General features: G+C 41.2%; 1 pseudogene across 1 annotated transcript in view, besides 1 other annotated feature; it reads left to right on the top strand.

Annotated features, from left to right (window-relative positions):
- The window catches only part of FGF7P3 (fibroblast growth factor 7 pseudogene 3), a 60,783-nt pseudogene that overhangs the window by 20,028 nt on the left and 27,318 nt on the right, over positions 1 to 13,437 (top strand). The window lies entirely within an intron of this gene.
- Positions 810 to 1,796: an enhancer, noted in NCBI's record as "OCT4-NANOG hESC enhancer chr9:41997761-41998747 (GRCh37/hg19 assembly coordinates)". NCBI's record gives its function as "activates a minimal SCP1, AML or CMV promoter by ChIP-STARR-seq in primed H9 embryonic stem cells {active_cell/tissue: H9 hESC(primed)}" and the evidence as "EXISTENCE:reporter gene assay evidence [ECO:0000049][PMID:30033119]".

The raw sequence follows: 13,437 nt of genomic DNA, 5'->3' as shown, positions 1-13,437 counted from the left end.
CCTTTCTCCCAGTTGGTGAGTTTTGGAATCCAGGAAGCATTTTAGTAAAGTAATAGTTTTTAGTAATTTAGTTCACCTCTGTGCACCCTACAGCCGTTTCTCACATGTTGGGGCTGCCCAGTGAGCACTTGCTGAGGGAAACTGCAGGGAGACTTGCAGGTCAGGTTCACTGAGCCAGAAAGTGAAGCAAACTGAGAGGGCAAAGTGCATGAAACTGGCTGAAATATACGAACACACTGGGGAAACAAACATCTCCGGCCTCTGTGGAGGCGGAACACAGTTGCTGAGGTCTGTGATTCAGCAGCACCCACCTGGCAAAGCATGCCCAGCATCGGGCTTCGTTCTCCCATAGTGCTTTCATGGCGAGGAAGAAAAGCCATACATACTAACATGGGCCAGCTGGAAACCACAACTATATAGTATTGCTTTTCAGCTTTTCAGCTGGAATTCCGAAAGAACTCTGAGGTCATGTAGAATGCGGCATACTGTTAGATGGGGCCTGGGTGGGCTTGGTGTTACAGGACCTGCCCCAGGTCATGGTCTGTGGTGCGGAGGGAGGGTGTGATTTCCCATCCCCTTCTTATCTCTTTGTCCCATCTTTTTTGCCCTGTACACACATGATCGTCCTCAATATCTTAAGTAGGATCTCCCATATAGCTAAAATTGATATTGGCATCTAAAGTATGCCTAACTTAGCTGAATATTTGGCCTTTGCCTTTAAAGGATCTGTAAGTTATTGGGATGAGACCAAGGAGAAAAAGGAAGACCATAGATAAGCATAATCTGCCATCCAATAATTTCATGACATGCTTATCCTTGGAATAAAGTTGACCTGTTATCAGGAAACTGTCCCACCATTTTTTTTGCATGTAGAGACCTCCATTGCTATGGCCTCCATTGTAATGGGCTGTCATTGGGTTTGAAAAAAGTCTACATGTTGATTTTCATGGCAATAAAAGAGTCAGAGGTGCAAGCTGGAGCAAGGTGCTCGCCAAAGCTAGGCCTTTCCCCTCCCTCAGGAACTGGCAACAAGAGCAAGAGTTAGCTTCCTGAATGTTTGCATTTCAAAGAGAGAACTCTCAGGTCTTTGAGGAGACAATTCTGGAATGTAGATTTACACTTCAAAGGTGGAGAAAAATTTATAATTGCAAGCTTTCTAAGGTTCTAAGAGGGGATTCGGGGCTCTACCTGCCCATCACCAGGTTTTGCCTGAAACAAACAGTAAATTTTCTTTGCAAGTGAGCTTTTTCAGGCAGTCATTTTAAGAGGGCTGGGGTCATCCGCGGGACACCCTTGTGCTGCCGGAAGCCTCACTAGCGTTTGGTCCTCTCTTTGGACAGGGGTTTGGAAGTAGCTAAGTACTGCGAGGCCTGCATTCTCATGACCAAAGCTCACAAATGCCCATTTCTTTATTTCTTTCATTTTAATCTTTGAAATATTTATGTGTCTCTTAACACCTCTTGGAAATTTCCATCCCTTTTGAGCTATGTTCCAGTCAAACCAAACAAAGCGTGGCCCAGCAGCCCTGGGGAGTCTCTGGGTGAAGGGGAGATGAGCACACAAATGTTGAGAGTTTGAGAACCCCTGGCCTTGATTTTTATAATAGTTGGTCAAGTGGTCATCAGTGAAATCCACAGGGATTCCCTGAGAGTGTATAGCTTTGGCATGATGGTTGCTGTAATCTGAAGGGGAAAGTAGAAGTTTACATGTGAGTACTGAAGAAGCTTGAGACAGAGTCTCACTCTGTCACCCAGGCTGGATGAAGTGGGGCCATCTGGGCTCACTGCAACCTCCGCAATTCTCCTGCCTCAGCCTCCCCAGTAGCTGGGATTACAGGCTCCTGCCACCACGTCCAGCTAATTATTTTTTTCTTTAAAATTAGTTTTTATTTAAAAAGTACAAATAGCACTTTACTTTTACTTTTGCAAAAAGTAAAGAAATGGTGTTTTGTTACAAAAATTAAACAAATAAATTTTGGATTGTAGAAAATTCATTAAAAACTCAAGTTTTAATTCAGTTAAAATCCATCTAGTGCTGTAAGTGTGGCTGTTGGCAGATGTCTTATTTATTTTTCATATATTAATTTATATTATTAATAACTAATTTTTTATTTATTATTCGTGAGCCCTTTCCCATGACAACTTCTTGGAAATTTCTTTCTCTCCCACTGACCTAGTATTATCTCTCAGGCATTCTTATTTAAAGTTTTTCCTCTCATTATTCCCTTCTTCACCATCATTCCCAGGTTGGTTACAAAAACTAATTTAATGACCCATTTACTCTGAAGGGAGGCGCAAGAAGTGAAGCTTCTTTCTGAGGCCTTAAGGGATCTCACCTCCTTAAATCTCTGTTTTCCTACCCCTACTTCAGATATTATTGAGACATTATGTTTTCTTCCTCTACCTTCAGAAACTTCAGTATCAACAGGTCCAGATCTGCCTAAGCCCTCAGATGAGTCTGCAAACAATCATTGTGTCAACATTTGACTCATGCCTTGCAGATGATCCCAGGCACCACTGTCTTAACCTGTGAAAACCATAAATTCTTGGCACAGACAACTTCTTCTGCACATCCCTCCTCCTCATACATACACTAAGAGACTTGGCCAAATTCCAACACAGTGTCTATCAGCTCCGAGCCACGTCCCTACGATGCCCCATACCCCTCTAAAGCACCTGCCTGGGAACATTCAATTCTGCCAAAAGAATTTACTGTTTGTCCCACCCAAAACTTGACTATAGGTCCCTGACCTCCCATTTCTAAGAGGTTTAACTTTAGAAAACCTGCAATGGCCAGGCGTGGTGGCTCACACCTGTTATCCCAGCACTTTTGGAGGCCGAGGAGGGCAGATCACGAGGTCAAGAGATCGAGAACATTTTGGCCAACATGGTGAAACCCTGTCTCTACTAAAAAGAGAAAAATTAGCTGGGCGTCATGGCACACACACGCAATCCCAGCTACTCAGCAAGCTGAGGCAGGAGAATCTCTTGAACCTGGGAGGCGGAGGTTGCAGTGAGCCGAGATTGTGCTCAGAGTGAGATTCTGTCTGGAAAAAAAAAAAAAAAAAGACAGATAACCTGCAGTTATAAACCCTTTCTCTGCCCCTTTAAATCTCCTACAACATGGAAATGTCTTTCTGAAAGACTTGGGAGCCATCCCTTTGGACTATAAGGATCAAGAAGGATACAGGATTGTCTCCTGGTCTCTGTCTCTGCGTAGGAACCTAATTTTGATAAGCACTATTAGCAAACACAGATGGCCTCATCACATTGACCAACCTTTCCCCAAACATCAGTCCATGCTTTTCCTTTAGCACACTCCAACATTTGCAGAGCCTCTTGCTTTTTGTTTCAGTGAAGTTGAGGCTTTCTAACATACTATAAATTGATATGTCTACTTATTGATTAGAAGACAGAAATTAATCACTGGATTTCATTATCACGCTGACTTTTAGGATTAAAAGCAGCCTGTGGTTACAGATGCAACATCTTTACATTTCTAAGAAAAACAGGAGAGATTTGTCTTTGGCTCCTTTGGACCTCACTGATTAATGGAGAAGAGAGGATTGAGTAGGTTTGGATGATACAGCACAAGTCAGTTTAAAGTTCCAGGCAAAGAAAGCAACGGTTATTTTTCACTCCAGAGAGTGAATCATTCTTTGGGGCCACAAAAGAGAAGATTTGAAGAATAAGCAGGGACATCTAGAAGGTGGCTGAGTGTACTCCATCGGGTTAAATTAAGCTATTTTGTTGTTGTTCAAATAGCTTCCCCACATGGTACATTTCATATCTAAAGTGTTATTCCCTCTCCCATCATTTTATTACATATGCAATATCTGGCTGAGAACCTCTTTCTTGCCCTCCTTCTTACTGGTTAAGAACACAAACAGTCCTCTCTTTGCACAGCAGTGCAGGGCCATACAAATCACTATGCAAGCTGAAGATCTGTAAAGTGACCTAAACAATCCATGTGAAACATCGACTGTTCTGTGTCATTTAAAAATTTTGGCCAAAACATTAAAAATCTCTTACTGTTGGTTATAAATGTATAAGGAAATGAAACATAGTGAAGTTAGTACTTTTTTTTTTTTGAGATGGAATCTTGCTCTGTCGCCCAGGCTGGAATGCAGTGGCGTGATCTCAGCTCACTGCAACCTCCACCTCCTGGGTTCAAGCTATTCTCCTGCCTCAGCGTCCCAAGTGGCTGGGACTATAGGCACGTGACACTACGCCTGGCTGATTTTTTGTATTTTTAGTAAAGGTGGGGTTTCACCGTGTTACCCAGGATCGTCTTGATCTCCTGACCTCATGATCTGTCCACCTTGGCCTTGCAAAGTGCTGGGATTACAGGAGTGAGCCATCACGCCTGGCCAGTACTTAGTTTATACACTGTAATTTAAAACATTAAACAACAGCCAATTAAAGTGCTTTATTTATTTATAGACGTGTATCAAGCCCAGTTTGAAAAGTGCTTGCCTCCCTCTTGTCGTATAGCTTATGATAAGGAGCCAGCAGTGTTTCTATGCCTTGGTGAACTGTCGTGCTGTTTTTGGAACAGCATCTAACATTGTCAACGTCATGCAATATCTACAAGAGTTCCTTTAATATGAAGTTTGTTGCTGTCTTTGCCGGCATCACTTCCTCTGGGGCTTCTTCATCCTTTTAATCACAGCTGCGTTCCTCATTTATGTCAGAACACTGCGTTGCGCCGAGTTCCTCTTGCCGCGTTTCCTGTGGTGAGCCAATTCTATGATTCCATTTACATTGTATTTGAATCCACTTCCAGGGTTATCACATTTTTTATTTCTTTGCTGCACATCAATGGTTGTTGACAAGTTTTTTCTTCTGATTATTCATATTTATAAATGTCACATGGGTTTCTCACTGGGAGACAAGGAATCAACACGATTGCAGACTTTGCTGTCTGTGTGCGAACTAGCTGATGCACATTGATCAGTCACTGGCAGGCTTTGAAGGAAGTGAATTGTGTTCCCCAAAAAAGATATGTTTGAAATCCTAATCCCCAATATCTCCAAATAATATCAGCTTATTTGGAAATAGCACATTTACAGAGGTTCTCAAGTTAAAATGAGGTCATTAGGGTGGGTCCTAATCCAATAGACTAACTGGTGTCTTATAGTGAAGGAGAATTTGGATACAGCTCCAGACACACACACACAAAAGACGATGTGAAGACACACTGAGAAAATGCAGTGACATATCTGTAGGTCAAACAACACCAAGGATGGCTGGCAAACCCAAACAGGAAGGAGAGGGGAAGAAGGATTCTCCCCTAGAGCCAGCAGAGAGCATGAACCTACCAACACATTGCTTTTTGACTTCTAGCCTCCACAACTACGAGTCAATACATTTCTGTTGTTTTAAGCAACCCGGTTTTTTGTACTTTGTTGCAGCATCCCCACAAGATTAATACAGTCCCTGATCATGATGCTTGTCTGTTATTTACTCACACAGGCATTTGTGGAATTAAGAGCTGGGAATGAAGTTTGGATTTTATGCAGTTGCTCACAGTTAGCATATGGTGGTAACCGAAATTGTAACCAGGTTGTTGGGAGACTAGTGCTATTTAACTAAACTATGTTAATTAAACCTGTGCATATTCAAATGTGCAAAGCCAGGACTGTTTTTACTTAGTTCAGGTATTTAGAGGGAAAGAATGTTTGCCTCTTTTCAGGGCTTTGGAGCATGCCCTGTGCCAGCAGGCCCCTTCCACAGCTACTTAACATCTCTTCTCGTCTTACTAGCCACCTCTCAACTCAGATGACCAGCAAGGCCATCTTTGACTATCAGAATGAAGTAGCCCGTCTCCACTTTTGATTACATTCATTTGCTTTATTGTCTTTACAGCATTTTTATTTACTAAAATAATAGTTTTTCATTACTTGATTCTTACCTTGATTCAGTACTTCTAAAAAATGCAGATTACAATTCAAATGAGAAACCAAGTTGACTAACGTTAAAACGTTTGATACTATTAAGTATTGTTGAGAATATAGATCTACCAGAACCTTTAACTTCTCATGGGAGCATAAATTGGAAAACAGTTCATTTTAACGTAGTAAAACCAACAGTATACAAATCTTTTGACACAATTATTTGAATGTTGGGTTTTTACCTTAGAGAAAATCTACCTTTTATGTCCAGGAGACTCATACAAGAAAAGGACATCTAGTTTTGTAATAGAAAAAAATGGATAACCCCAATCTAATAAAATGGAATGCTCATTATAGTATTATCCTGTGATGGAATACTCTAAATCAATGCACAGAAAGTACAGACAAACATATCATAAGAATGAATTTTACAAATTAAATATTGAACCAAAAAGCAATTTCAGAAAAATATATTCAGTGTGATTCCATTTGTTTAAACTGAAAAATATGTGAAACAATAATGCTCAATGTCCTTTACTAATGCATTTATTTTGGCAAAATTATAAAGATAAGAAATGGGACTCATTAACAGGACAGTGTTAAGGACTCTAAAAATACGGGTAGTTTTTTATTCTTAGGCAGGTAATGTGTACATCAGTGTTCATTTTATTATTTCTTACACTGTCTTCATGACTTACACATAATATTTTGCTAGTTTTAAAACATAAGATGTGATAATAATCTAAACAGACCAAAGGAAAAAAATGAATATGTTAAAAAAAAAGACAGAGAATGAGCCCTGTCTGATAGAAAGCATAACAAAGCAAGTAGAAGAACTCTCACAAATGCTTGATCCAATAAAGCTAGGTTTGTGCTCCACAACACTTCAGCATTTTAATGTGATTTTTGATGTTTGCTTTTTGCAACGGTGATTCCCAGTTGCCTCCCTCCTATGTCTTTACAAGCTGAAATCAAGTGAAGCTACTTCTGACTTTTTCTAAAACTAAAACACAACATGAAGGTCTGCGTATTCTTTCACATGTGCACATATGTGGCACTTTTCCATGATGCAACAGCAGCGGGTCTCTAGCTAAGCTACAGCAGCAGCTCTAAGAGGCAGGGGACCCTGAAACGAGGCTGAAAAAAAGAATAGTCCATAACTGACATCAGGCAGGCTGCTGTTGTAAGCAAAGAAAGGAGGCTCACAGGGGCGTGGACTCAGGCCAGATCAGGCTATTGTGGGAGAACACGGAGCACATGTGTCAGCTGGAAAGGGGCTGGCTCAGGAGACAAAATAGGCACGAGAGGAAACCCAAAAATTGACATACATGACTATCCTTGTAGAAATGTATAAAGGTTTGGATTATTTTGCTTATCGAGTTATAATAAAGTTATTCTAAAAATGTTTATGTAAAGTATTATGTACATTTTTGTTACCTTATAAAGATTATTTATATTTGAGTTGTGTGGTTTTGGAATGACAGTATTTGTAAACTTGGTTTTGACATTCTCTACGATGCTTAATGAAGAAACTGACATTTAAAGCGATTCATTAATTCTCTTTGGTCAGTAGCTGAGCTGGGACAGAGTTCAGGTTTTCTGATTCTCAGCCTATGTTGTTTTCTCTTCATTTTAATGTGAACCTAAATATGTATAGGATCTAGACAAATATGACATGTAGTGCCTTATTTCTTGTTTTCTCTGTAATGAATGCCAGGTGAGATAACTTTATTTACAGAAGCCATCCAGTGGCTCAGGTTGCATCAGGTTGCCTTTGAATCATTTATTCAACGTCAGGATGGTAAAGTGAGGAGCTTCCCCAAACTGAAGCAGAGTGGCATCTGTCCCAGGTTGTAGAGTATTCCCTGCCATAAATAAAGACATGCTGGTTCTTGTTATTTATACAGGCACTGGGGTTCCCATTAGCTCTTACATTTCATATGCTTAGAGCAAGAAGCTAGAGAGTGACTTAGGATACAGTGTAAATATATTAGTAAATTAAGACAGTTCTGCAAGATTTTTAGGACTTCTATTTTTCTTCTATTCATCATTTATGAAGTATTCTTGCTAGAAATAGTTTATGTCTCTCTATCTTGCTGAGTGATGAATACTCGGCCAGGATGCTAAAATGTGGTTTCATGAAGTATGTTGTGTTTCTGTCTGTTCTTGTTTCCTTCCTTGAAATGTGTAAAAGTGAAAAACATACTAATCATAAATCAGGTATTCATCATAAGCCTAAAAAAAGATAAAATAATCAGTAGTATCATTGACTAAAATTATTACTCACCAAAAGAAACTCACTCCAAAGTTAGCGCAATACTAACAGAGAATACAAGTTTTGCCAGGAATCACTGAGGCTTAGTACCTCACATGGGAAACATGGGAAGTAAAACCACCTGAGGAGCCACTTGATGGTGAGTCAGGCTGTTCCTCAAAGAGTAGGCTGTGACTGCCAAACTTTGTAGGTTAAGGAGTATTTATAATGATCTTTGAGGAAACTGCAACTGACAATTGAGGGAAAAAATATTAGTTCATGACTGCAAAATACATGACAGAGTCACAAAAACTATTTTACAAGTTTAAAAAAAAAACCTGATGCTGATGCAAGGTAGGCGAACCCCAAAGTGGTGCTTAGCCTGCAAGGGTTCTTGGCTTCACCCAGGAAAGGATTCAAGGGCGAGCCAGTGGTAAGGTGGAAGAAAACACCTTTATCAAAGCAGCACTGTTACAGCTCCTGCAGGGTCACAGCTCAGTGACTGCTCCCAGGGTTGCCCCATAGGCAGGGTGCCGAGAGTAGCAGCTGAGCCCAGTTTTGCTGTCATATGTATACCTACTTTTAATTACATGTAGATTCAGGGGTGGTTTGTGCAGAAATTGCTAGGAAAAGGGTGGTAACTTTTGGGTCATCAGGTCATTGCTGCTGAAAGGGGTGGTAATGCCTGAGTGTTGCCATGGCAATGGTAAACTGACAGGGCACACTGGTGGGTGTGTCTTACAGAAAGCTGCTTCCACTCTGTCCTTGTTTAGCTAGCCCTCAATTTTTTGTTTGTAAATGAGCAAGAGAGTCGTGGCCTTGGCGTTTTATCCCAGAAGTACAGTGGACCCCAGAGCACTCTAGACCCAAGGGCTAAACCAAATCACAGCATCCCACAGTTGTGTCCAGCCCTCCATCACTGATTGGCTGCAATCCAACAAGTGGCCCAGAGGGGAGGGTTCATTGAAAGCTCTTTGCTAAGTGACAGGTCTTTAAGAAGGAAAAGGCTCTTAAAGATTGGTATGGGATGGGGGAAGTGTTTGTGGTCACCACGGCACCCCAAGGCTGTGGCCTTCTCTGAGCACCATGAGACTCAGCCATGTCTTTCTCTCTGTTTTCCCACAAAACCAGCCAGTGCTGAAGCATATCCTCCTGGCCTACAAACAGTGGCCATGACTTCCAACTCATCCAGGCTACTTCTGATTTAGTGTTAGGCCGCCCACTTGATGTGTATGTTCCCATGCTGTGTTGACCCTATTACTTAATGAAAACACACAGCACTCGTTTGCTTCTCGACTTACTTCTCATGAAATATTACTATGCCTCCCCACCCAATCACAATCCTTTGCTGCCAAAAATCCCTTGCTACCCTGTACATTTTGTCCACTAAGGGAACCCCTCAGCACACACACACAATGGTGCTACTGAAACCAGATCACTGTCTCATTTAGGTTAGATATGTCAGAAACCCTTCTCTCCTAAGTCGACCTGATGCTCTATGTCAATCGCTCCTACTTCTGGAAGGAGGTTGGGACCTTCCAGCCTGGATATGCCATCACTCATCTACACAAAACTCTTGAATGCCAAGCTTTGCCACACGTTAAATCAGCCAAAGTGGCTAAATTAACTGTTCTCATTCAGGCTTATATAAGGCAGAGGGAATTAAGATTAGCACCTACAGTGACAGACACTGGGTCTTTGGTGTAGTGCATGATTTTGGTATGTTTTGAAAACAGAGAGGATTCATGACAGCAACTTGTCCCCAGTCAAAAGTAAACCCCAAATAGCAGAACTTCTAGAGTCATTGCTATTGCCCCAGCTAGTTGTTACAGTTAAAGCTGAGGGATATAGTATAAAATACTCAGATGAGGCTCAGGGAAATAAATTGGCTGATAAAGGTGCTAAGCTAGCATCCTCTTCCTTGGCCGCCTAAGAAATCCAGGAAGTCTCCAAACCTTGTGACTAGATACCTGGGCTTCATTTCAAATACCCACAGTCCTGCTAGGATTATTTACCCTCTTTAAATAAATTGACAGAAGCAATGTCTTTACAATGCCTCTAAAGGAAATGTAAAATTCACACAGCCCAGATAACAATTTCAGAGTCAGAAAGAATTGGATGAGAAAAAGGTGAATGTTTGACCCACTTAAGTGGACTTCAGAAATACCCAGATGGCCATTTGATAACTCCTAAGTCTGTCTCCCAAGTCATTGTGTACAATTTGCTCATCCAGATTTACCACAGAAAGGATAACATGTAGTATATATTAAACAAAACAATATGGCTTGGACTCTTTAGATTTTATTTGGACCAAGCTGTTGCCATTTGCTGCATCTACCAACAACATAATCCTCCAAAAAGCATAAAGGTGGGGCAAAAAAGGGAAGTGGCTCCCTCTACATCCTTCCTTCACTGGAAAATAGGCTTCCTTCACTGGAAAATAGAATGGGAGGCTTTCCCTGTTGAAACTCCTCAAGGACATCGGTTGCCAAGGTTTATTAAGAGTGAATCTTCCCCACATGGGTTATCCCCTCTACTGCCTCTAGTGACAGAGGATCACATTTCACTGGCAAAATTATTCAGGAAATAGGAAAGGTTACACACACCAGCCAAATATTCCACTGGACTTACCATCCTCAGTGATAAAGTTCTATACAAAGAGCCAACAGCATCCTCAAGCTGAACTGGCTAAACTGTCTGAAGAAAGAACTTGCCATGGCCACAGATATTACCCATCACACTGACTCTCAGATCCTTGGCCCTACCTTCACACAAACGATCCTCTTTGAATCATTACGGGATACCCATGAGAATAACCTACTAATGCAAACTAGCCGAAGATTCCAAACTAACTCAGTTCAACAACCTCAGATATTGTCAGGGATTAATTAAATACACACAGCCCCACTATACTCCACAATTGAGGCTTCTTGTATCTTTAAACTCCCTGATCAGTCCTTACTTGCTTCATAAGTAAGTGATCTGGCATTTTGAAAAAACACCAACATCAGAAAACTAACCTTGAACCCAGAGGGAGGGGACCTTTTATTGTTTCACTCATTGCTAACACTGCTAACAAATTACAGAGTGTTTGAACTTGGGTGCATGTCTTTTAGTTGAAAAAATACAAAATCTATTTCAATTGGAAGGCACTCTAACCAGAGACTCACGCTGAGACTCTATGAACAACCTCCAGGCCAGGCGCGGTGGCTCACGCCTGTAATCCCAGCACTTTCGGAGGCCGAGGCGGGCGGATCACGAGGTCAGCAGATAGAGACCATCAGGTGAAACCCCGTCTCTACTAAAAATACAAAAAAATTAGCCGGGCGCTAATTGGCGGGCTCCTGTAGTCCCAGCTACTCGGGAGGCTGAGGCAGGAGAATGGCGTGAACCCGGGAGGCAGAGCTTGCAGTGAGCCGAGATTGAGCCACTGCACTCCAGCCTTGGGAACAGAGCAAGACTCAATCTCAAAAAGAAAAGAAAAAAAAAAAAAAGAACCTCCAAACTTTGCAGCGAGCAGAGATTGCACCACTGCACTTCAGCCTGGGTGACAGAGCAAGACTCGGTCTCAAAAAAAAAAAAAAAAAAAAAAAGAAAAGGAAAGGAAAGAAAAGAAAAGAACCTCTAAAAGTAGCCAAGAGCTGGAGACAGACATCCATCCTAAGAACTACGGAGCAAGTAAATGATATGATGAAGCAGTCCGCTTCTGCCAAAGATCCTGAAACAAGATTCACTCCGATTCCCCTTCTTTGTCTCTGACTTCAATTTTGGGTCTACGCATTCTGCTACTACTCCTGTGTCCTCTACAACGTCCCATCTTTATCCTAGTGATGTGTCCTACTTACAACATATATACTCCATCTCCAGCCTCAGCAGCCCTGTCATGATTCCCCTCTGTTTCCTCCTTATCTTACCCTATCCCGTGCTTTCCTCTCATGACCGTAATTCCCTCGGTCTCTTAGCTGACAAAGTAGCCAATGAAATTAACCAAAGTAATTGCCGGGTCTATGCCCATTCCCACTCTATCCTAAAACTCGTATTCCCTTAATAATTGTCTCCCTTATGCTTTAGATGGCCTTGGCAGAAAACATTACAAATATACAGCCATTTAGGTCTCCCTTTTAGAAAGATATTGGGTTATTTCTTAAAAGCCCTTGTGACTGGGAGTATGATGTGGCCTCTTTAACCTAAGAAACGTGGTGTTTTACTAGAAATCAGTCTAATAAATATAGTCACCCTGTGGAACACAGTAAATGCTCTGTGTCCTTGTGAAAAGATGAAACCTATTTTCAAGAAACAGACATTCTTTGTAAGAGCCAAACTCCCATTAAGGACAGCATTGTCTGCAATACCCACGCAATACCAGTATCATAGGAAATTATTTTACCCCGGATCAATATTTTGGTGAACTGAAAGACTGGGCAAAAAATTGCTGGCTAAATGGTACCAAAGTACCCAGCCATTTAGAAGATGATGTTTGTAACTGTCTCTTTGGAGTCTATTCCAGGTTAGCTCCTCTAGCCTCTGTTACAACCACTAGAGGCAATAACCAACACTAGTATGCCCTCAAGGGACATTATTTAGTATGTGGTCATAAAACCATACAAAGTACTTCCAGCCCATTGGGCTGGCTGCTGCGATGTGGCTTATGCTGTCCCTCAAATGGAAATGTATGAAAAATTTCCCAATGGAAAAATTAGAAACATGAGTGCTCCTACAATTGCTGAGCCTGAAACTTGTGAATGGATAATGGCTGGATGACAAACAGCCTTAAACAGGTCCGGGGAGAGCCACTTGCTCAGGCCAAACTTACAGGGTGCTCTGTTCTTGATATTCTACCCTTTGTCACCAGGTCAGCCAACTCCTATGCTGTAAGATACATCTGACGAAGGACTAGTATCCATAATCTAAAAGGAACTCCAACAAATTAGCAAGAAAAAAAACACATAATCCTACTAAAAAGTGGGCAAATGACATGAACAGATATTTCTCAAAAGAAGATATGGAAACGGCCAACAAATATATGAACAAATGCTCAACATCACTAATCATCATGGAAATTCAAATTAAAATCACAGTGAGATACCATCTAGTCAGAATTATCTTACCCTAGCCAAAAGGTTAAAACACAAACAAACAAACAAACAAAAACAGATGTTGGCACAGATGTGGTGAAAGAGAATGCTCATACACTGTTGGTGGGAATGAAAATTAGTACAACCTCTGTGAAAAACGATGTGGAGATTTCTCAAGGAACTAAATGTAGATCTACTATTCAATCAGCAATCCC

Source organism: Homo sapiens, chromosome 9 (genome assembly GCF_000001405.40).
Source record: "Homo sapiens chromosome 9, GRCh38.p14 Primary Assembly".
Taxonomy (NCBI): domain Eukaryota; kingdom Metazoa; phylum Chordata; class Mammalia; order Primates; family Hominidae; genus Homo; species Homo sapiens.
This window is presented reverse-complemented; position numbering and strand designations above follow the sequence as displayed.